Source organism: Homo sapiens, chromosome 17 (genome assembly GCF_000001405.40).
Source record: "Homo sapiens chromosome 17, GRCh38.p14 Primary Assembly".
NCBI lineage: Eukaryota > Metazoa > Chordata > Mammalia > Primates > Hominidae > Homo > Homo sapiens.
The window spans coordinates 19658452-19682912 of NC_000017.11; the positions used below are offsets into that span (position 1 = coordinate 19658452).

The 24461-nt window shown below is 44.0% G+C and overlaps 2 protein-coding genes and 1 pseudogene across 18 annotated transcripts in view, besides 2 other annotated features; 2 read left to right on the forward strand and 1 right to left on the reverse strand.

The window, feature by feature from the left end:
* Nucleotides 1–19145, forward strand: part of ALDH3A2 (aldehyde dehydrogenase 3 family member A2) — a 29461-nt gene extending 10316 nt beyond the window's left edge. For 4 of the 10 annotated variants that reach the window (NM_001369148.2, NM_001369138.2, NM_000382.3 and 1 more), the window contains 5 exons: nt 2676–2817; nt 4882–5048; nt 6497–6596; nt 13270–13505; nt 17107–19145. In NM_001369148.2, coding sequence (NP_001356077.1) covers nt 2676–2817; nt 4882–5048; nt 6497–6596; nt 13270–13505; nt 17107–17121 — 660 coding nt within the window. In that variant the 3' untranslated portion in view covers nt 17122–19145. Of the gene's footprint in view, nt 1–2675; nt 2818–4881; nt 5049–6496; nt 6597–13269; nt 13506–14699; nt 14825–17106 lie in introns of those variants that run through there. The other 6 variants (NM_001369137.2, NM_001031806.2, NM_001369136.1 and 3 more) reach the window with 3 other exon arrangements.
* Nucleotides 3549–3639, forward strand: LOC124900397 (uncharacterized; annotated as a pseudogene).
* Nucleotides 5497–5998: an enhancer, noted in NCBI's record as "NANOG hESC enhancer chr17:19567261-19567762 (GRCh37/hg19 assembly coordinates)". NCBI's record gives its function as "activates a minimal SCP1, AML or CMV promoter by ChIP-STARR-seq in primed H9 embryonic stem cells {active_cell/tissue: H9 hESC(primed)}" and the evidence as "EXISTENCE:reporter gene assay evidence [ECO:0000049][PMID:30033119]".
* SLC47A2 (solute carrier family 47 member 2) overlaps nt 19866–24461 on the reverse strand; it is a 40663-nt gene continuing 36067 nt past the window's right edge. For 7 of the 8 annotated variants that reach the window (NR_135624.2, NR_135625.3, XM_017024222.3 and 4 more), the window contains 4 exons: nt 23087–23219; nt 22916–23010; nt 21501–21588; nt 19866–20455 (listed from right to left, as the gene is read on the reverse strand). Coding sequence is in view for 5 of the 8 variants with exons in the window: in XM_017024222.3 (XP_016879711.1) it covers nt 20235–20455; nt 21501–21588; nt 22916–23010; nt 23087–23219 (537 nt within the window). In the remaining 3 variants the exon portion in view is untranslated. Of the gene's footprint in view, nt 20456–21500; nt 21589–22915; nt 23011–23086; nt 23220–24461 lie in introns of those variants that run through there. The other variant, XR_001752432.2, reaches the window with a different exon arrangement.
* Nucleotides 22399–22900: an enhancer, noted in NCBI's record as "H3K4me1 hESC enhancer chr17:19584163-19584664 (GRCh37/hg19 assembly coordinates)". NCBI's record gives its function as "activates a minimal SCP1, AML or CMV promoter by ChIP-STARR-seq in naive H9 embryonic stem cells {active_cell/tissue: H9 hESC(naive)}" and the evidence as "EXISTENCE:reporter gene assay evidence [ECO:0000049][PMID:30033119]".

The window sequence follows — 24461 nt, forward strand, 5'->3', positions numbered from 1 at the left end:
CGGTGGCTTATGCCTGTAATCCCAGCACTTTGGGGGGCCTAGGGGGGCAGATCACTTGAGGTCAGAAGTTCAAGACCAGCCTGGCCAATATGGTGAAACCCTGTCTCTACTAAAAATACAAAAAAATCAGCCGGGGATGGTGGTGCATGTCTGTAATTCCAGCTACTCAGGAGGCTAAGGCACGAGATTTGCTTGAACCCTGGCAAGAATCGCTTGAACCCGGGAGGCAAAGGTTGCAGTGAGCCAAGATCACGCCACTGCACTCCAGCCTGGGCGACAGAGCAAGACTCTGTCTTTAAAAAAAAAAAAAAAAAGAAGAATGGGATGACCAAATGACCAGTGTGACTGAGTTCAGCAGTGGGTGAGGATCATTAACCCCTCAGATGAAAGAAATTATTGGAGCAGTCACTGTTTACTCGACAGATGTTAATTGAGCACTAAAAGGAAGGATCAAAAACACCAAAGAGTAATGCATGTGATCTGAAAATGAAAATTGTTGGCCAGACATGGTGGCTCACGCCTGTAATCCCAGCACTTTGGGAGGCCAAGACAGGTTGATCACTTGAGGTGAGGAGTTAGAGACCAGTTTGGCCAACATGGCAAAACCCATCTCTACTAAAATTACAAAAATTAGCCGGGCATGGTGGCACGCACCTATAATTCTAGCTACTTGGGAGGCTGAGGCACAAGAATTGCTTGAACCCGGGAGGTGGAGCTTGCAGTGAGCCAAGATCATGCTACTGCACTCCAGCCTGGGTAACGGAATGAGATTTTATCTCAAAAGAAAAAAAGATATGAAAATTGTCGCCGTTGTGGTGGTTCACTCCTGTAATCCGAGCACTTTGGGAGGCTAAGGTGGGAAGATCGCTTGAGCCCAGGAGTTCAAAACCAGCCTGGTCAACATAATGAGACCCTGTGTCTACAAAAGAAAAAAAGGTTAGCTGGGTATGGTGGCACATGCCTGTAGTCCCAGCTACTCAGGAGGCTGAAGCCAGAAGGATCACTTGAGCCCAGGAGTTCAAGGCTGCAATGAGCCATTATTGCATCACTGTGCTCCAGCCTGAGTGACAGCATAAGACTCTGTCTCAAAAAAACAAAAAAAGAGAAAATTGGCTGGGCACAGTGGCTCACTCCTGTAATCCCAGCACTTTGGAAGGCCAAGGCAGACAGATCACTTGAGGCCAGGAATTCAAGACCAGCTGGGCAACGTAGCAAAATCTTGTCGCTACAAGAAATACAAAAATTCAGGTGTACCGGCGTGTACGTGTGGTCCCAGCTACTTGGCAGGCTGAGGTAGGAGGATCGCTTGATCCTCCTGGGAGGCGGAGGCTGCAGTGAGCCAAGAATGTGCCACTGGACTCCAGCCTGGGTGACAGAGTGAGACCCTGTCTCAAAAAAAAAAAAAAAAGAGAAAATTATGTACCAGGAAGTTCAGGACAATAGTTCACTATGTGTTCCAGGCAGAGTAACTTGGGGGATGAGGTGCTAGGGTCTTGACATGGAAATTGGACTATCATTTTTAGTCATAGGACTAAAAATGGATCCAGATGAGCACATGAAGGGAGAGTTGCCCAGATTCAGGGTATGTGGGAAGAGAGAGTGGTTAAAGATACTTGTGAGATTGAAAATATTTGGGAATTGGAGAATGCTTAGTTGAGTGTGGTGATGAATTCAATTTCAAAGGAATAAGGGCCTCTGCCTCCCTTTGAGGCATTTATACTCTTAACACAGTGGTTCTCAAGCTACATGTTACCCTAGTGAGCCATTTAAAAACAAGTTTGCAAGCCTTACCCTCCAAAGATTCAGCTCGTCTGAGGCCTCCAGGTGATTCTATGATGCATTCAGCATTGAAAACTACTGTTGGTGACTCTCGAGTCAGAGCCCAGGCACATGCATTTTAGCAAGCTGCACCAGTGATTCCGACCACCCAGACTTGAGAATTGCTCTTGGTAGAGGTTGGATGAACAATGTTCATTTTGATTTGGGATGAAATTGGGAACTCTCACAAGGCTTTGAAGTGATGCAGCAATTCAGTAATTTTGTTTGTTTTACTAAGTAAATATTGATTGTATGATTATTGACGTTCTTTTACCTTGGTAATTTACCAAAGCTGTATTTTGATCCTTCGGGTGGTTTCACCATCATGTGTAAGTGGTGGAAATACCAGTTCAAAGAAGACCAAAACAACAAAGTGGAGCAAAGATTGGCAAATGGTTTCTGTAAAGGGCTAGATGGTAAATATTTCAGGCTTTGCAGATGTTAGGGTCTCTGCTGTAACTACCGAACTTACTGTAGGGGGAAAGCAGGCACAGCCAATGTGCTAACAAATAGGCAACTCTGATGCAGAGCAAGACTTCTTTCCCCAGCCTGCTCCCACTGTCAGCCCCAGGAGGTGAAGGCCTGTGGGTGGACTCTAAGAGATCCATAAGAACCTTTGGAACTATGGACAATGACAGATCTCTGTGTGTGTGCATGCTTTATTTTCTGGTCCTCGACCTGCCAAAAAGCTGAAACTTGCTACTATCATACTACTGTTAAATTACTTGAGGGGTGGGGTGTTAGATTCTGTGAGGATATAAAACCAGATTGATTTTGGGGCATGGCTGGATTTTGTACTTACTGAAATTGAATTGTGGGTCTTTGTGACATTTATATACTCCTGTTGTTTTAAATAGGAATTTTATGGAGAAAATATAAAAGAGTCTCCTGATTATGAAAGGATCATCAATCTTCGTCATTTTAAGAGGATACTAAGTTTGCTTGAAGGACAAAAGATAGCTTTTGGTGGGGAGACTGATGAGGCCACACGCTACATAGGTAATGGAAATTCTCCTTTTCCTATGGGAAGATGGCAATTTGGCAGTTTTTGCTGACACTACTTATTAACACTAGATAAACTATTAAATATATAGCATTTAATTGTTAAAGTACTAAATCCTGCTTTCTGGTATACTGTACCTGTAGCTTTTGTTATAAACTATTTAAAATGTCTGTGTTTCTGTGTATTGAATGATGCCACCAGCGTTGCTCCAGTTGTTCATATTTACACATAACTCCTTTTTTCCTCCTAACAATCCTGAGAAGCAGAATAGAACTTGATGTAATTATCTGTAGTTTGTGGATGGGAAAACAGCACAAAGAAGGAAATAGCTTGGCCACTATTCCACAATTAACCAGTGACGGTACCATTCCAGAAATAATGTTTTGGTCCATCATGCTTGACCTTATTATTTGTGTACCTTCTTTGTGCTTTTTCTTCTTTGCCTTGAATATGTATTACTTTGAATGTTAAGCACATTTTTCTACAGTAACATATAAGGTGACAGAAAAATTAGACACATTTTGCTGGCAAAGAAGCTGCACCACCTAGCTTTACTTATCCCCTTTATCAGATAAGATGCTATAAGTCACCAAAAAAAAAAAAATCAACTTTAAAAAAAAAAACTTAAAAATGAAATAATAAGCAGAATTGATTCTCTTATAATTAGCAGTCCCGAGGTTCTCCTGAGCTAGATAATTCAGTGGCCCCGTGGTACCATCAAAAAACCCTGATTCTTTGTACTAGGATGCAAAAGAAAACAATCCTTGTGCCTTCTATCTCTCTTGGTGGCAGCCCAGATTGAATTGGGGAATACATCTGTAGAAAAAAGAGAAAACAGACTCTACTTGTTTCACCTCTCTGTTCTCCCATCCTCAGCATGTCCACATTGCCTATTTCTAGGCTAATGAATGGTAAGAGGAAGGGGCTATCCTGATTAGCTTATAGACTAATTAGGACTTTCCCCTGACTTCGAGCTGGGATCATCTTACCTGAGCATGGCTATGCAGAGGAAGTAGACACTCAGCCCAAATTGTTTCTCTGACCTGAGGAAGATGTGGGCAATGGATTTGGAGTGGCAGTTTATATACCCCCTGGAAGTGGTGCTGCAAGAAGCTGTCCCCAGCCACATTGCCAAGATAACCTATTAGAAACTGGGGGTAAAGGAAAAGTGCCAACTTGTTATTGTCAGATGACTTCTCTTTTGGTTGACGAGCCAGTTTCTTACTTACAGCATCTTTTGGAGTACTGCTAGTTGGTGACTTACATTGGCAGCAGATGCTGGGACACTTTGTCTAGCCTCCCCAGCATCTGTTTCACCCTCCTTTCTTGTGCCTCTTCCCCATGGTAGATGGAACAGTGGACTAAGGTTTAGGGAATTTTGACCATTTAAGTCTGTTTTCTTAATCTGTCTAACAGAGTTATAATAAAGGTTAATGAGATCATATATATGAAAGCACTCGAGTTAAGAAAAATAGTATTGATTTGATTCACAGAGGAGCTGTCTTTGCTCCTAGAAAGACCTGTCCATTCGAGACCAGCCTGACCCAACATGGAGAAACCTCATCTCTACTAAAAATACAAAACTAGCCGGGCGTGGTGGTGCATGCCTGTAATCCCAGCTACTCGGGAGGCTGAGACAGGAGAATCACTTGAACTCCAGAGGCGGAGGTTGCAGTGAGCCGAGATGGCACCATTGCACTCCAGCCTGGGCAACAAGGGCGAAACTCCATCTCAAAAAAAAAACCTGTCCACAGAAAAATGTTAAGTATAATCTACAGTTAAATACATGCATGGCTGTGAACAGGGTTCAATGTGAAAAAGATATATTTGAGTGTGTATCGTTCCCTTGGTTTGCACAAGTATCCGCAGGGTTGTGATTCACAGGCTTTGGAGACATTGAGTATGTGCACAGTTCATCCACGTGCTCAGGATTTTTCAATAGATATGACTTGGGTGGGAGAGGGAAAGGCATGGATAAGTGACCCAATGAAAGAGATGTAATATGAGAGTTGTGCATTTTTGTCTAATAAGCATTTTCATTTTGTTTATTTTCTTTTTAGCCCCAACAGTACTTACCGATGTTGATCCTAAAACCAAGGTGATGCAAGAAGAAATTTTTGGACCAATTCTTCCAATAGTGCCTGTGAAAAATGTAGATGAGGCCATAAATTTCATAAATGAACGTGAAAAGCCTCTGGCTCTTTATGTATTTTCGCATAACCATAAGGTAAGCTTTAGAGAGAACAGCTAGTTAGCATAAGCAACTGTCAAGAGTCATGTTCCTTCTTTGCTGTAAAACAATGCAAAAAACAATGTGAAACAATGATGGTTTCTTTTGTGTCATGTCAGAGTCCATCCACTAAGTGAGGTTGTGTTCCGAGGTTGCTGTCTTGGTTAATGAGACTCTGGGGTTATCACAGCATCCATTCCCCTCCTCCCTCGGGTTAGATCTGAGTCTGCAGGGTTGAGTGTCACAAGGTTTTTGATTCACAAACATCTCCTGTATAATTGGAAGACTTATATGTGCCAGCATTAAATGCTTTTCTGATGTTAATCCACAGGGCATTGCTGAATAACAGCCTGCACAAAATGGCATTCACACCCACTGTGTGGGACAAAGACCCCGACACTGTCACATAAATGGTTGTGATATGATGGATTTTAGTTTCTAACATGACGCTAGCTTCTTGTTAGAGTGGTGGAACTGCATCACCTGGTTGAGCAGTTCTGCCACTTTCTGCATGGCTCACTCATTCATGTCACTAGGTGACCAGCCGCTACTAAGAGACCATGGCCCAAATGTTTTCTGGAGAGCTTCTGATGGTAATGTATAGATAGTCATGTGACAGCTTTTGGAGCTTGTGAGACTATTGAGATACAGATAGCTACAGGTATTTGAAGTGAGACCAAATGTGTGGGGCTCAGTAAAGACTGGGTTATTAACAAAACAATGGTTTGACATTTAAAACCATGGATAATGTGGGCAGGAAGGAACCCTGAAGCCGAAAGTAGGCTGGCCAGGGTATAAGTCAGGTGTGGAGCACTTCCCAGCAGTGGGTCACCCGAGGTCACTATAGTCCAGACTTGACGTTTGCCATGAACAATTGTCAAGGGCTTGCTGGCACCCAAGGGTAAATGACGTTTACTAGTCAAGTGTTCTTGTGCTTTTCTGAGCCTTAGGCCAAACAACCATTTATTTCTTAAAAAATAGGATGCTAAATCTAAAGTCTTAAATATTTTTACATTTCATAAAGACTAAATAATACCTATTAATCATGTGTTATAATTTAAAGCAGAGATAAGAAAGAAATAATAACAGTTTTTAAAGCTGGAATATAGTCTAAGCTGTCCCCTTTTAAAGAGTCTTTTGCTGCTGTGTTGGGGAGTACAACTCCAGGTTGTGGCTGAGTAGGCCCAGAGGTTTGGAGCTGCCTCCTTTTGTGCACTAGATGTGTGTCTGAGAAGTTGGGTATCAGTCACTTTGCTAAATTAACCAGTTGAGATTGTTTGTCTATCTGGCATGGTGTCCCCAAACTCGAGAATTTTCACTGACACAAAGCCAGAATGTGCATGCTTTGAGCACATAACTGAGCACACAGCCCTCTGTGTGGTGGGGCCATGAGTGTTCCCTAAGGGGCAACTTCACTGACCTGGACACCTTTGGTCTGTCCTCAGCTCATCAAACGGATGATTGATGAGACATCCAGTGGAGGTGTCACAGGCAATGACGTCATTATGCACTTCACGCTCAACTCTTTCCCATTTGGAGGAGTGGGTGAGTCTTATTTTCTCCTGCTTGTAGTAGATATTTCAAAAGCACCACCATTTCATGAGTGGATTGTATGGGCTGCTGAAATAGCCAGCTGTTGCGTACCCTGATTGTCCTCTCCTGAGGGAGACCTTTTCCTGGTCACCCAGTTGACTGGTTTTCCTGCTTCCCCACCCACCCCTCCAGCATAGGGCAAATGTCTTGTCACTCTCTTTCTGTCAGCAGCACTGACTGACCACAGCTTTGTTCACTTCGTTGATTTTGTTATCCTGCCACATTTAGGAGATTTGGGAACCAAGAATCAGGTCTCAAATTAATTAAGAAGATCTCTCTTCGTGTGTGTGTGTGTGTGTGTGTGTGTGTGTGTGGTGTGTGTGTTTAATGAAGTAGCAAATGAAAGGTTCGGAATACCAGGGACAGAAGGTAGAGGGGTTTTCTAATGTGCCTTTGTTTTCTGCTCAGTTCTTACCTGCATTGTTCCCCAGCCCTTTGTTGGGAGGAGCAGCCTCTCCTTGAATTGTTTTGTGATTTGAGTAAAACGGGACTCCCCCTGTTCTAGAGAGGATGGGCAGAAAGAAATTCATTCCAAGTGAAGCTTTGTGGACATAGCCTGATCCTTGCTTTTCCCTTTAGAACATGACCTGCCTGCCTCTCCCACATGTGAGATGACTGACTCAGCTTTTTATTTCTCCTTTGGGACCTAGGCTAGGTGGGCTTTTCTACTCTCTACTAGAGCTATTACAAAATAGCCGATATGTAAACATTCTCATAACAAAAACCCAACCAGAAAAGCCACTGTCTTAAAGCCCTGTTCTATCCTCTCCCTTTGTAATACCGTCCTAAGTCAGTTGCTCCATGGGATGCGATGGCCCAGTTTGGCAGGACCATCTGTTCCTGGTTAAGGAAACCTTGTCCTATGACCAAGGAGCCTTGACCTATATAGCCACAGGTCCTTGTCTAGGAGGTAAACATATTGCCAGCACCCAGCACAGTGACTGACATGAGTGAGGGACAGGCGGGAAGAGGCCAATTGGTAGGTATTGCCAGATCCAAATTGGAAATGGTGGTGGCTTGTAGAGGGTGGTAGCAGGGGAGATAGTGGAAAGGGAAGGGGGTATTTTTGGGATCAAGCAGCAGGATTGGCTGATGGAGTGAATGTTGGAGGAGGGGGTGAATGAGAGAGGATGACTCCTGGGATTTTGGCTGGAGTAAGTAATAGTTTTGTAGCCCAAATGCTTAAAAGATTGGACTCTGTTGTCTCTGTTCCTCAGCTCACCACATAGGATCCTGGCATCCACTGTGCTAGTGCAGTAATCAACTCGGTAATTGTTCCATATGGTGTCTCCACTGCCCTCTAATTGCAAATCTAAGTGACTTGGGTTCAGTCCCTGTCCTACTTGACAAGATAGCCTGTGGCATCATTGACTATACCATCTTATTTAAAACAAAACAAGGCTGGGCGCAGTGGCTCATGCCTGTAATCCCAGCACTTTGGGAGGCCGAGGTGGGTGGATCACTTGAGGTCAGGAGTTCCAGACCAGCCTGGCCAACATGGTGAAACCCCATCTCTACTAAAAATACAAATGTTAGCTGGGTGTGGTGGTGCGTGCCTGTAGTCCCAGCTACCAGGGAGGCTGAGGCAGGAGAATTGCTTGAACCAGGGAGGTGGAGGTTGCAGTGAGCTGAGATTGCGCCACTGCACTCAAACCTGGCAAACAGAGCGAGACTCCGATCTCAAAATAAATAAATAAATAAATAAATAAATAAATAAATAAAAATAATAAAATAAAACAAGCAACCTATTATATACCCACAAAAATTAAAAATACAAAAAGAAGATGCAAAAGAAAAAAACAGGTTTACTCTCTTAGCAAATTTCAGGCATATAATACATTATTATAGTGGCCATGCTGTAAAAAAATAAAAATAAAAAATAAAAACAAGCCTTGACCCCCAAATGTAAAAAGAATACAGGCTTTTTAAGAAAACTTGGAAAAGATAGAAGAGCCCAAAGAATAAACATTTATATTACCCATAACCCCACTATGTAAAGATAACTGGTATATGTCTTGCACACATATGCACACACATATACACGGTCATCTGAATATTCTATTCAAAAAGGTATCATACTATATATTGTTCTGTACCCTGTATGTGACAGAATAGTGTGACACTTTTCCATGTCAATATTCTTGCATGTCATAATTTTAGTAGCTGCATACTTTTCCATCATATGAATGTGGCATATTTATGTAACCAATTCCCAGTATTAGATTTTTGTGATTTCAATTTTTTTGGTATTACGATTCTTATATAATGTATCTTTATGCAATCTCTGATTATTTCTTTAGGAAAAATGTCTACAAGTGTAATTACTCTGTTAAAAGGGCTTATACAATTTTCCAAATTGAAAAAAATGCTTTTTTCTTCTAATTCTCAAAGTAATATAGACACAGTGGCAAAAAGTCTAAACAGTTAAACTTTTTAATATTTTGGCATATAGTTTAGATTTTTCTTTTTTTTTTCTTTTTATCGAGACTGAGACTCCCTGTCACCTAAGCTGGAGTGCAGTGGTGTGATCTCAGCTCATTGCAACCTCCAACTCCTGGGTTCTAGCAATTCTCCTGGCTCAGCCTCCCAAGTAGCTGGAACTACAGGTGTGTGCCACCAGGCCCAGCTAATTTTTGTATTTTTAGTAGAGACACGGTTTTGCCATGTTAGCCAGCCTGGTCTCAAACTCCTGGGCTCAAGAGATCCACTTGCCTTGGCCTCCCAAAGTGCTGGGATTACAGGTGTGAGCCATCGCACCCAGCCTAGGTTTTTCTTTAGAAATGCTTCTCTTTAAGACTTTTGATAGATATTTCAAGTGTCTTTGCAGATTTCTGCCACTTTATATTCCCATGATCAGTATATGAGTGTTTACTTCCTTATATCCCCAATTCTGGATTATTCCATTATTAAATTTCTAGACAGAAAAGGGTCTCATTTCAATTTGTACTCCTTTGATTATTAGTGAGTTTGAATTTTTTTTACCACTCTCATGAATTTTCTATTTATGTCCTTTGATATTTTTGCTGTGTTCACATCTTCCTTATTATTGGTATATAAATAGCCTTTTTTATAAGTAAGAAAATCCTCAGTCCTATCTGTAATACATATCCCTTTCCAGATTTTAATTTTTCTTTTAATTTTATCTATGATTTGAAGCGTTTATTTATTTAGAGACAGAGTCTCACTCTGTCACCCAGGGTGGAGTGCAATGGCGCGACCTCGGTTCATTGCAACCTCTGACTCCTGGCTTCAAGCAATTCTCCTGCCCCAACCTCCCAAGTAGCTGGGATTACAGGCACCCGACACCACTCCTACCTAATTTTTGTAGTTTTAGTAGAGATGGGGTCTCACCATGTTGGCCAGGCTGGTCCTCAACTCCTGATCTCAGGTGATCCACCTGCCTTAGCCTCCCAAAGTGCTGGGATTACAGGCATGAGCCACCACATCTGGCCTAAGCCTGTGTGGCTTTTTGTTTTTTGGTTTCCGATTTGGAAAGTAGGCTTAGAAAAGCTTTCCCTATTTCATTATTATATAAATATCATCTGTAGGCTGGGTGCGGTTGCACACACCTGTAATCCCAGCACTTGGGGAGGCCAAGGCACCTGGCTAACATGGTGAAACCCCGTCTCTACTAAAAATACAAAAAATTAGCTGGGTGTGGCGGCACCACCTGTAATCCCAGCTACTTAGGAGGCTGAGGCAGTAGAATCACTTGAACCCTGGAGGCGGAGGTTGCAGTGAGCAGAGAGTGCACCACTGTACCTCCAGCTTGGGCAACAGAGCGAGACTCTGTCTCAAAAAAATAAGAATAAAATAAATAAATAATTAAATATTATCTGTAGTTTCCTTCCCTCCCTCCCTCCTTTTCTTCTTTTCTTTTCTTTTTTCTTTTCTTTTCTTTCCATTTAACCATGGAGTTGGCCAAGCATGGTGGCTCACACCTATAATCCCAGCACTTTGGGAGGCCGAGGCAGGTAGATCACCCGAGGTCAGAATCTTGAGACCAGCCTGGCCAACATGGTGAAAACTCATCTCCACAAAAAATACAAAAAAAAAAATTAGCTGGGCATTGTGGCATGCACATGTAGTCCCAGCTACTTGGGAGGCTGAGGCAGAAGAATCGCTTGAACCTGGGAGGCGGAGGCTGCAGTGAGCCAAGATCATGCCACTGCACTCCAGCCTGGGCAACAGAGCGAGACTCCATCTCAAAAAAACAAACAAACAAAAAAAACACCCTGGAGTTCACTTTAGAATGCCATACGCTGCATGATGTAATAATTTACCTTTTTTTTCCCAAAGAGTAAACTATGCTGGCACCATTTTTTGAAATAATCATCCTTATACCATCAGTACTCAATAAAAACACGTTTGGGTCATTCTTAGGGTTTTCTCATTGGTTGCATTATCTTTCTGGTTTGTTTTTTCCGTGGGCCAGTACCACAGTTTCAATTACAGTAGTTGTACAGTTAGCTTTATAAGTGACATTTAGTAAGTGCTTATTGTATGCCAGGTACTGCGGTTGAATCCACGCCTTTTCTTTTCTTTTTTTTCTTGTTTGAGATAGGGTCTCACTCTGTCACCCAAGCCAGAGTACAGTGGTGCAATCACGGCTCATTGCAGCCTCAACCTCTTAGGCTCAAACAATCTTCCCGCCTCAGCCTCCTGAATAGCTGGGATTACAAGGGTGCACCACCATGCCTGGCTAATTAAAAAAATTTTTTTTGTATAGAGGCGGGGTCTCACTGTGTTGCCCAGGCTGGTCTTGAATTCCTGGGCTCAAGCAATCCTCCCACCTCAGCCTCCCAACGTGCTGGGATTACAGGTGTGAGCCACCGTGCCCGGTCAAATGCACGCATTTTAGAGACAGACAACTAATAAGTAGTAAAGCCAAGAAATGAGCCAAAGTTGTCTGGCTCCAAAACCCACATATTCAACCAATCCAGTAGTTTGCTCTTTAGGACACAGTACTATTTCAATACCTAAAAGTAAAAGCTCCTCATTATTACTGTTTTTCGATGTTTTCTTGCTTGTTCTTATCTAAATTTATTTTTCCAGATGATCTTTGGAATCACTACCTCCTCCTACTTAAAACAAACAAACAAAACCTTCCGAAATCCCCTAGGATTTTTATTAAAATTGATTTAAACTTAAATTATTTTGGGAAGAATTTATATCTTTAAAATGTGGAGTCTTAATGGGAATATGTTATATCATCTCTTCATTTATATAGCCCTTTTATATCTTTCAACAAAACTTTGTAATTTCCTTCATGTCAGTTTTTTGCTTTTTATTTATTTTTTGAGACAGGGTCTCACTCTGTTGACCAGGCTGGAATGCAGTGTGGCACAATCATAGCTCACTGCAACTTTGAACTCCTGGGCTCAAGCAATCCTCCTGCATCAGCCTCCCAAATTTTTCCCAGTTTCTTACTACCTTGGTTATGTCTTTGGCTCGCCCCTCCCTTATTCTTTTTTTTTTTTTTTTTGAGACGGAGTCTCGCTCTGTCGCCCAGGCTGGAGTGCAGTGGCGCGATCTCAGCTCACTGCAACCTCCGCCTCCCAGGTTCAAGCAATTCTCCTACCTCAGCCTCCCAGGTAGCTGGGACTACAGGCGTGCGCCACCACGTCCAACTAATTTTTGTATTTTTAGTAGAGACGGGATTTAACGATGTTGGCCAGGATGGTCTTGATCTCTTGACCTTGTGATCCACCCGCCTTGGCCTCCCAAAGTGCTGGGATTACAGGCGTGAGCCACCGCACCCGGCCCCCTCCCTCATTCTTTACCCTCCCTCAGAGTTAGGGTTTCTCATGGTCTTGTCCTTGGGTCTCTTCTCACACCAGGCCTGCTTCATGAATGATTCCTTCCTGCAGCCTGGCCTTGGTAAACTGCTCCCTGGCCTCTGGTCACCTGTGTCTTATATCACACATGCCATTCCCTCTGCCCAGCTCACACTGCTCCGCTTTGTGCCTGTCAGTCTGTTGTACACACAATGAATTAGAGAAATGAAACTGTCACAGAGCATGGCTTTGTGGAGGGCAGAGATTTACACTTGCTTATTATCATCCAGCTGTGCAACCTTGTTGCCCTGTCTTACTTTCCACAGGCTTTGAGAAAGCAAGTGGGTGTGTGGGGCCATGGATGAATGAAGCCACATGGGATGGTGGGAAGAGAGCACATATAGCATTTAGAGTCTGATCCAGGTTCGGGTTCTGGCTTTGCCACTTAGCAGCCGTGTGACCCTGGGCAGGTTAACTGACCCTGTAAGCTCCCTTTCCCTCTCTGGAAATGAGGCTGCTGATAATTCACCAAGTGGGATTGTGGTGAGAATTATCTTAAGAGAATGATTTAACTCTTAGCACAGTCCCTGGCATAAATGAGAGCCACAGCTCTAGAAGAGGTGCAAGTCCTTGTCTTGCTCATGGAAAGCATCCTGTTTGACAGGGAAATTGACTTTTCCAGGGAAGTTGGTAAGGACTTCCTGAAAAGAGATACTTCAGCTGGCAGAGATGTTCAGTGGGGTTCCCAGGCAGCAGGGAGTGCATGTGAGCTTTCCCGGTCGTTGTTAGACAGAAGTAGCTTGCATCATCTACAGTGAAGCTTGTTTTGTCTGTTCCCTTTATTTCAGGTTCCAGTGGGATGGGAGCTTATCACGGAAAACATAGTTTTGATACTTTTTCTCATCAGCGTCCCTGTTTATTAAAAAGTTTAAAGAGAGAAGGTGCTAACAAACTCAGATATCCTCCCAACAGCCAGTCAAAGGTGGATTGGGGAAAATTTTTTCTCTTGAAACGGTTCAACAAAGAAAAACTCGGTCTCCTGTTGCTCACTTTCCTGGGTATTGTAGCCGCTGTGCTTGTCAAGGTGAGTCCCTATAACCCATGAGTGCCATTCAGTCTGGTCCTGGCCTGATGGCTGCCAGATGCATATTCTAGCAGGACTCTACATTAACTTGTAGAGTCTAAGACAGGGTCAGTGAACCACAGCCTGCTGGCCAGCTACCCGTTTTTGTCACTGAAGTTATTGGAACACAGCCACACCCACTTGTTTAATCATCCACAGCTGCTTTCATGGGACAGTGACAGAGCTGAGTAGTTGCAACAGAGGCTGAATGGCCCTCAGAGCCTAAATTATTACAGAAAAGTTTGCTGATCTCTGGTCTAAGAGATTAAAACAGCGTAGAACTTGATTGCAGAATTCTGAGCTGTCTGATCAAAGGGTTAGCCCTTTGATCCTTTTGGTATTGGACTTTCCTTGTCACTTACAGCTTTGTTCTTGAATGTGCATGAAATCAGCTTACCACAGAGGTGAAGGCAAGAACTCTGGTACAACAGCTTTGGTGAGGGATATTTTATTAGGCTTGAGTTTTTTTCCTCCAAAGTTCACTACCTGATAAAGTTTATCTTTGGTGATTAGTCATTATAGGGATGGGCTTGCAAAGAGGCCCTCATGATAGCTGCCTTCTCAAAGCAGTTTGCGTATTTTGAGATGAAAGAGGAAATCCGTAATTAAAGTTAAGATGGAATGAGGAAGGCAATTGTGTCTGTGGTGCCCTCAGCCGTTCAACTGAGGATATAACATTGAAAATATTGACCATATCAGTGAAGAATGGGCTTGGAAAAGGCAATGGTAATAGTTGTGTTTATGTTTTGTTTAAAATTTGAAAGGGGGCCGGCGCAGTGGCTCACACCTGTAATCCTAGCACTTCGGGAGGCTGAGGCAGGGGAATCACGAGGTCAGGAGTTCAAGACCAGCCTGACCAATATGGTGAAACCCTGTCTCTACTAAAAATACAAAAATTAGCCAGGCATGGTGGCACGCACCTGTAGTCCCAGCTACTCGGGAGGCTGAGGGAGGAGAATCACTTGAACCCGGGAGGTGGAGGTTGCAGTGAGCCAAGATCATGCCACTGCACTCCAGCCTGGGCAATAGAGCGAGACTCCATCTCAACAACAACAACAACAAAAATTTGAAAGGGGTTTGGCTCATCTTACAGTATCCCAGCCTTAGTGGAATTGGAGATACCAGTTGCATTTGAAATCATTTGGGTTTTCTCAGAAATACCAAGCTGTGCTGAGGAGAAAGGCCCTGTTGATTTTTCTGGTAGTTCACAGACTGCGTTGGTCCAGTAAGCAGAGATGAACACCAGATTTCAAAACCCAGCCCTGTCTGTTAAGAGTGAGGTAGGAACTTTTTGTTTTCTTTCTATATGTAAGGTGGGCCAAGTTGGGGTATGTTTTCAAGGGTTTTTTGGTTTGTTTTTGTTTTTGTTTTTGTTTTTGTTTTTATTTTTGTTTTTTTTTTGCTACAGTTGGAGGCTTAAGGGTTATTGAAAAAAGAATGGGCCGGGCGCAGTGGCTCACGCCTGTAATCCTAGCACTTTGGGAGGCCAAGGCAGGTGGATTGCCTGAGTTCCGGAGTTCGAGAACAGCCTGGCCAACATGGTGAAACCCCATCTCTACTAAAAATACAAACGTTAGCTGGGTGTGGTGGTACGTGACTGTAGTCCCAGCTACTAGGGAGGCTGAGGCAGGAGAATTGCTTTAACCCGGGAGGCAGAGGTTGCAGTGAGCCAAGATTGTGCCACTGCACTCCACCCTGGGTGACAGAGCAAGACTCCGTCTCCAAAAAAAAAGAAAGAAAAAAGAATGTTTAACTTACTTATCTCTAGACATTTTGGACCTGGGCCCAGAGTATCAGGGTGTTAAAACTCCACTTATCCACAATTTTAAAAGGGTGAAGTGACTTGCTAGGAATCTAAGAGAAGTGTGCAGAGGCAATGGCTTAGCTGCGTCCAGGTGAAGCATACATCATTTCTTGGAAAAGGGCAGCTGAGTGTGAGCCTCATTTCTCTTCCCCTTCTACTCAGCTCTCCTGGGGGAGGTGCCAGCTGACTAATTCAGACTTGTCACCATCTAGGCACTGAACTCTTTATGTCATAATTTAAGAATATGTTTTTTAAATCACTAAGTAGTTTTGATTTGTTTTCATTTTTAAAAAAAGGTTTGACTTTGGAATTCATGGCAGCAAATGTCGTGAAATCAAGGTGTAGTATACAATTTAGGGGCTACTTTCTTTGCCTTCCTGAGGCTGGAGGTGTGGTCGGAAGCTTACTTGGGTCTCTGGTCAATATCTGTCTCTTTTGTTCTTTTCCCAAGACCTCGGTTCCTCAGTTTGATAATGCATCTTGGTAGGATAGAATATTTTAGCCTCATGGAAAATACGGAGGCCCAGGCTGAGTCTGCATTCTCCAATCTTACCAAACCCCCAAGAAGCCTCCCTCAGGTGCAGTGCAGTGTGCCAGGCAGGTTCGAGTTCCCAAAGGGTTTGGCAGGCATGTTTCTCTGTGAGGGTCTAGAGAAGCAGCAATATATAAAAGAAGCAGCAATATATAAAACCTTTAGCAGAAACAAAAAAATGTGGTTTGATTCCTGGCTCAATGAACTTGGGCAAGGCCTTTTCTGAGCTCTTTCTTGGGCCTCAGCTTGCTCATCTACAGGGTGAGGGAGTAGGTGTCAGTGATTCCCCAGGCCACTTTCAACCCTTCCGCTCAATTCTCATTACTAATAGTTGTTAATATTTCTTTGGATTCAATCTGGAACTAGGTAGAGATTTGGTTTTCTTTTCCACTTTGCTGCTTTTCTGCTCCTTTCTGAGCTTTTAATCCTCTTTTTATCAAATTACCTTTTATTTAAAATAAATGACTTTGAATCTGTACTGTATATTTACCTGAATAGTCTATTTATTGTAATTACATTTTTCTGAAATGGCTTTTATGTACTTAATAGTTTCCTTATTTTGTTACACTCTTGGATTTTATTTTATTAATTACCTTACTAGAATTAGAAGGGATTTAGAGCAGAAGTATTGTACACAAAGTAAAGTTCCAATAAAGCTTATAAGCTACAGAAGGCATTGTGGGAGATGTGGGTTTTAAAAGGTCGAGAAACATAAGAGGTTAATGTTGATAAATTTCATTAGGCCTTTGACAACTAAATATGACATTTGAACCTTGAGATTGCAGCAGCCCTTCCTCAGTCTTCAATAGGAAGGATTAAATTCAGTACTACTTTTGAATTTTAGAAACAAAATTGTATACCAGTTTTTGAATTCCATGTAGAGACTTCAGCTTCCTACTGAAAATGCTAGGATAATAAGTTAGTACTCTCATCTTCTGTCTCTACTCTGACATTAGCTAGTTGACAGTGGACAGAATATAGCCTTCATTATCACGTTGTCTTACTCTTATTGTTATTGTTGTTTTTTGAGGAAGGGCATAATCCTTTGGCCTAAACCGTGCTTCCTAGGCTTCCTAGGGATATGTAGTCCTTTTTTGTACAATGCATGTAGAGTCTCTTCAGACAGGAGGTGTCTGAGTCCCAGTGCTGAGCTTGTGTTGCAAGGCTGGTTGTGGGTAGGTTTTTAAAGCAGCTGAGTAAACTGAATCCTTTTTTCCTCTCTCCAGGCAGAATATTACTGAAGAATGATCCTGTTCAACCTCCTAGTGCCTCTACTGAATTATTCCTCTTTTAAATGGTTAATGAACCAATAATTTTTAAATCATACCAAAAATAGTAAGAAAATATGCAAACACTCTGTGATCAAACTTAAAAGTCATTGCCATTCATCATTAATAAAAGTTGCCATTTCAACTACGTCCCAACATTCCCTAATAGGGTATTCAGGGAACCTGTCTTAAATTGTGCTTATCTAAATCTTGGAACTTTGAGCTAGGGGAGGAGAATGTATTAGACTAAATACAAACTGCGGGGTTGTAAGGGAGTCTCAGAACCTCACTGAATCCTTCACTCCAGTTAATGGCACTGCTCACTTCCTGCCTCTGCTGCCACCATCACTGTGTGAAGCTTTCAAGAGCTTGGTACTTCCCAGGGCTACCGGCAGTCCTCTGTAGTCCAGAGAGGTGAGATTAGATCTTCTTGGTTCCCTGTGAGGTTTCAGGCACTAAAACTCTATGTGGGGAAGGGAGGGGTTACTCCTCCTCCAATGGGACTCAAGGACTTGACCTCCAGGAGTAGGCCCCTGGTCAGAAGTGCCATCTCACCAGTGGTCTTCATTCTTCCTCATTCATTCTTTATCATCCTGTGTTCTGTTTAGTTGCAACAATCTCTTGTGACTAATGTCACTCAAAGCATCTTGTAAATCCTAGGGCTTCCTGGAAGTTAGTTGCCAAAGTCATGCAAGCATCACCTGTCATTCTTGTGTTGGAGTTATAGAATTCTACATCTTATAAAACCTAACTGGCATTTAAAAAATACTGTGGCCGGGCGTGGTGGCTCATGCCTGTAATCCCAGCACTTTGGGAGGCCGAGGTGGGAGGATTGCTTGAGTCCAGGAATTTGAGACCAGCCTGGACAACACAGTGAGACCTCATCTCTATCAAAAAATAAAAATTAGCTAGATGTGGTGGCATGAGCCTGTGTTCCCAGCTGCTTAGGAGGCTGAAGCAGGAGGATTGATTGAGCCTGCGAGGCCAAGGCTGCAGCAGGCTGTGATTGCACCACTGCACTTCAGCTTGGGCAACAGAGCAAGACCCTGTCTCCGAAACAAATAAAAAATACTGTAATAAAAGTACTTATAAACATACTAATCCTCTTTCAGGACCCTAAAGTTGCAGGTTAGTAGGTCTTCAAGGACAAATCTGTAAGTTTCTTATTTCTGTAGTGCAAGTAAAATTTCACTTTTTGAAACTATAGAGAGATCCCTTTCTGATTAGCCTACAGAACTTAAAGTGAGGGAACCATTTCCTCTCACAGACAAAGAGGCCTGGGATATTAGGACTTTGGGGTTTGAGAGCATCATGGGGCAGACAGATGGTGGATGGTCTGGACAAGAAGCGAGTAAGCCACTGCGGTTGGTCATACTGAAGGGAATTGATGGCAAGAGGATCCCCTGAGCAAGTCAGAAGTTACTCTCATCAGTCGTTCATGGTCACAACCTGAGGTACTCTGCTGAGTGGGCAAGGCTGAAGAAGAGGCCTGTGGAATGCAGCATTACCTGCTGGACAGAGCAGGGCAGGCAGTTCTATGCCTTGGAGCTCCTGACTGCAGGGACTCTGTCCCCACACTCAAAAAGACTCAGCTCACTCAATGAGAGAATGTGATTTACTTTATAGAACGTATAATCAACTTTGTTGAATAATTTGTTCTATTAAGGCTGTCTAAAGTATGTGATGTCTTCATCATAGTATGAAGTGTTGAAAATTAATAACGAGCCTAGTTTAGGAAAAAGCTGCTTAAAACTGTGGCTCTAAGAGAGTAATCATAAAATACCTTAGATAAAATTGCACTATGGAATTTTCATTGAGTATGTTTAAATTATTGGCTTGTCTACTAATACACATCTGCTTCAAAATGAACATATTTCATAAAATTGGCATCAATTTTAATGACGCTCCTGGTATGGAACCTCAGATATACCCTATTGGAGACAATCCTTTGATCATAAATTCTCCCCAACTATAAATCATTTTATGTCTTTATCATAGATGGTATTTGTCAACTTTTTTTTTCTCATTTTAAAATTCTTAGCTGAGAAGATTTTCTCAAACTTTATGTTCTGCTGTGTGTGTTGGGGGTGGTGGTTAGTAGCTATAGTAAATAGGTTTTTCCAGTGGCATCCTCCTACCCCCAGTTGCTGATCTAGAACAAGTGTTTCTGTAAGCATATTTGTAGAACACTAATCCCGCAAGATTTTACACAAAAAAATGGTCCTGCCACCAGTCCTGTATACCACTGGCTTGTAAAGCACATCAGCAAACTAAAGGACCCAGGTCATTTGGAACCTCTGAAGTGCTAGTGTGTGCAGCTCCCAGACTTCCTTGACCGCGGAGCCGTTTACCTTAATACCTGTTAACCATGGACCACACTTGGGCAAACAGTGGCATAGAGTCTGGAATTGCTTCCATGATGACTTTGCTGTGCTCTGTTCCTACTTGTTTTGTGCCCTTATTTATATCATGTCACTACTAGAAGAAAAAGTTCAGTAAGAACAAGTATTTCTCAAAGTCTGTGATAAGTGAAAATGCTGATGGAATGAAAGAACTGTAGAAAAGGGGAAGAAGGGTGTATGGACAGCCACTGCCCTGGTCAGGGTCTCACAGCACCTGCATCTGCCAGGAGCACACGGGTTGTCTGGACAGGGCCCACTGGTCCCCTTCTCAGAGCTTCACAGAGGCTTTATGACAGACTTGAGCAGCAGGCTGTGCCCAGGAAATGTGTAATCTTTAATATAACAGTGGTTTTTGTGATTTTATCTGCAGTGTCCCATTTGAAGCCATTTACATTATTAATAATAGTGACAATCCCTGGACTCTGACTCGTGCAGTTGGCTGATGTCTTCTGTAGAGCAGTCCAAGTCACAGAAGAAAACTCCAGCTTGACCAGAACAGAATTGTCAAGTCTGTTCAGACCCCTCTGAGTGTCACCACAAGGAATCAGCCAAAGTTCTTTTTTTGAGGAGTGGTTCAAAGTGTCCACCTGCACTAGACCCCATTGGTGTTTTTGCAGGGCAGACCGTGGTGTGTTTGCATACTGGGGACAGCCACTCCTGGCTTTCTATTTCCAAGCTTCTTTGCTAGTGCCTGGTGGCTAGGATCCTGACCGTGAGCCCCACCATCAGTGTGGCTGACGCCGCCCCCAGAGCAGCCCCACGGCGGATGACCAGCTGTTTCACTGATAGTCTGCTGGTAGGAGCTGAAAGGGCGTGGGCCTCCTCTGGAGTCCTGAAGAAGTCCACGTGGCACTCAGACCTTGAATACGTTGTCAAGGTAATGCCAGGGGAACTGCCTGTAGCCACTGCGGAAGCAAACAGGAGCAAACTCAGCAGGTCAGGGGTCAGAGGGAGAGCTTTGGCCTTGGAATCGGGAAACCTAGGTTAACCACCTGGCTGTGTTTGTTACACCTCACAAGGGACGATGCCTATACAGTAGAAAAATAACTGCTTTATCTACTTTACAAGCAAGATCAGAGGAGGAGATATGCAGGAAAGCATCTTAAACTGTGAATTTCACGTGCAGATAATGCTTACTACTAGGATCTCATGAGGAGTGTTCTTGTCAACGCTTGGCCCTGTGATGATCTGTGGCTTCAAAAGCACGTGGGAAACACAATTAATCATGTCTTACCGTATTCTCTCATGACAACTTACGCTCCCAGAGTTTTAGCTGGCTCACTACTGCCCTGATCAAGGATTAGCCCAGGATGGATGAGGTCATGGAGACATCATCTGTGTGAGCTTTGGGCCATGTGCACACACGCCTGGCACTCAGGACCAGCCCTGGGGCAGAGCTGGGGCCATCACTTCATGACATGGACACTGGGCACAAACCAGAGAGATGTTTGTCTGCCTGATGGGGTGGAGAGAGGTAGATAGCAGGTGCCCCCCCAAAGCCAATGAGTCAAGCCAGGCTGGCTGACAAGCCAGGCTCCCCACAAGTTAAAAGTTGGCCTTCCGTCTTGAGCAGAGTTCAGTGGGGGAGATCATGGGCTCTTGAATCTGACGGGTTGATGCGCAGATCTTATGTCTGGCCTTTACAAGTTGTGGGATGAGGGAGGAAATACCTAAGTTCTTTCAGCCTCACTTCCTCATCTGAAAATGGGCATACATCTAGTTGCCTCTCAAGGCCAAAGACTTGGTGTGGGGCCTGGTACTTGCATGCCTGCTAGACAATAGATGTTGTTGTCTTCCTGGTGCTTAGGACATCATTTTCATAATAATGGGAAGAAAAATAGCTTGGGCTTGTACAATTTCCAATTGCATGAGGCACAGAGGGCAGACAAGAGCAACATGCCACTGACATTTATATGTGTACCAAAGTAGAAGCAGCGGTGACAGTATTACCTGAAGATAGGACTGCTTTCTCAGGCCCAGGTCTGGTTGCAGTGCTCTCTGCTCTCTGCTGCTGCTGCCGGCCTGAATGTTTCTTAGCCTAAAGGAGAAAGAACTCAATTGGGTCAACCTGCCAGCTCAACAGTTCACCCCTTCACTGCTAGCCTCGCATTCTCTGTTTTTAAAACATTGCAAGCTGAAGCAGCATATATGCATGTATTCATAGTCATGGGGCTTTTAGAAAGTATCATTTTAAGGCTGGGCATGGTGGCTCACACCTGTAATCCCAGCACTTTGGGAGGCCGAGGCGGGTGGATTGCTGGAGCTCAGGAATTCAAGGCCAGTCTGGGCAATATAGTGAAACCCTGTCTCTACCAAAAATACTAAAAAATTAGCTGGGCATGGTGGCGCATGTCTGTAGTCCCAGCTACTCAGGAGGCTGAGGCAGGAGAACCTCTTGACCCCAGGAGGCAGAGGTTGCATTGAGCCGAGATTGTACCACTGCATTCCATCCTGGGCAACAGAGCGATACTCCATCTCAAATAAATAAATGTATCATTTTAAATATCTGTTTATCCAGCATCTTAAGTGTCAGGATGACTTTTTCTGTGCACAAAGGCAAAACCACACCCTGATAGGATTCAGGGTCTTTGAGAGAACACTGCTTCTGTGCTCTGCTTGCAGACTTGAGTTGTGCCTTTGCTGTGCCTGAGATGCAAAGGCTGCCCTGCCCTGTTTAAAAAGGACATCAAAGAGGATGGTGGGCAGGGTGATTTTATGACCCCTTCCAAAGTCAAGGCACACGCTCGGGGGTTCATCTGGGTTCAGACTAGTTTGAGTTCTTTGCGTTTGTTTGGTTTTCCACAGATGGGGCTGTCTAAGGAAGGTTTTTGGTTTTGTTTCTGTTTATAACTGCAGAGCATGCTTCTTATACTGGCCAATTACAGTGACAGGAGCCACTGTTGAGGCTCAGGTGGCCCCTCTGTAATCCCCCACAAAACACCTGCAGCACGCCTGTAATCCCAGCACTTTGGGAGGCCAAGGTGGGCGGATCACGAGGTCAGGAGATCGAGACCATCCTGGCTAACACGGTGAAACCCCGTCTCTACTAAAAATACAAAAAATTAGCTGGGCGTGGTGGCGGGTGCCTGTAGTCCCAGGTACTGGGGAGGCTGAGGCAGGAGAATGGCATGTACCCAGAAAGTGGAGCTTGCAGTGAGCTGAGATCGCGCCACTGCACTCCAGCCTGGGCGACAGAGTGAGACTCCATCTCACAAACAAACAAACAAAAAAAAAAAACACCTGCAGCTTATACCACACTGCTGCCAAGTTCTGATGTGCTCTGGGCATTTCTGGCTGAGTAGTCACTCCACCTGCTGGGGTCAGGTGCAGGGTGTCTTGTGGCCAGGGTCAGCTGACCCACTTACCTCCTCTGCAGCAAGCTTCCAGTCCAGCCGGGCAGTATAAGCAACAAAGGCAGCAGTTGCCAGGAAGACACAGGCCAGCATGCCCAGCCAGAGGCCTGGAGGAGACAAGTGATGATGGGAACAATGTCCGACGACCACCCAGGCCTCTCCCGACTTCCTCACACCACATACCCATGATTCTCATTCTGACCACAAAGGTCAGAAGGATGCCCAGTGGTAGGCCGATGATGTAATATGTGATGGCATTCACAGCGGCACCAAAGGCCTGCTTCCCAGTTCCTCTCAGAACTCCGCCATAGACACACTAGGAGGGGAGACAGAAATGGGCAAGAGTCAGGATGATGAGACTAAGAGCAGGTGTCATGCAGCAGGCACTGTGCTAAGCCATTCGCATGGCATTGCTTCACTGAGTTCTCACAGCACTGGATGGGTGCCCTTATCTCCCTTTCTTCCCTGAGGGTGGCTGTCCAAGACAGGTCAGATCACTTGTCCATGTTACACAGAAGTAACTGTGTTTTGAACACAACCCTACAGTACTCAGGCTTCACTGCCACACCATATGGCCTCCCTAGAAAGTAAAGGTAGAATTGGTGGCCAGCAACCAGTTGGTCTGGGAGACTGGACTAACTTCACATGATACAGAGGTGGTGTGTTGGTTTCCTGTGGCTACTGTAGCAAATTACTGCAAATATTGTGGCTTAAAATAACATAAATTTGGGCCGGGCATGGTGGCTCATGCCTGTAATCCCAGCACTTTAGGAGGCTGAGGAGGGCAGATCACTTGAGGTCAGGAGTTCAAGACCAGCCTGGCTAAAATGGTGAAACCCCATCTCTAAAAATACAAAAATTAGCCAGGCAAGGTGGCACTGTAATCCCAGCTACTTGGGAGGCTAAGGCACGAGAATTGCTTGAACCTAGGATGCACCACTGCACTCTAGCCTGGGCGACAGAGCGAGACTTGGTCACACACACACACACACACACACACACACACACACAAATTTATTATTTTATTTTACAGTTCTGGAGGTTAGAAGTTTGAATTGGGTCTCACTGTGCCAAAATCAAGAGCTTGTTCCTTCTGAAGGCCCTAGTTGAGAATGTGTCTCTGCTTTTTCTAGCTTCTAGAATTCCTTCTGTATTCATTGGCTGGTGGCCCCACATCACTCTAACCTCTGCTTCCAGCCTCACATCTCCTCTGACTCTCCTGCCTCCCTCTTCTAAGGACCCTTGTATTTACATTGGGCCCACTTGGATGACCCAGGATAATCCCCCTATCTCCAGATTCTTAATCACACCTGCAAAGTCCCATTTGCCTTGAAACACTCACAGGTTCTGGGGATTATGATGTGGACGTTGAAACTTGGGGGCCATTATTTTGCCTACCATGCATGGCAAACAGTGGTTGTTAGCTTATTCCATATGAGACAAGCAGCCCTCACCCACTGCTGTCTGTGATTATGTCTCATCTCAAAGATGAGAATTGCTCTGGAAAAAGTACTGTTTATTTCATTAGTCTCATTTTCCCAACGTGATTCCAGATCTT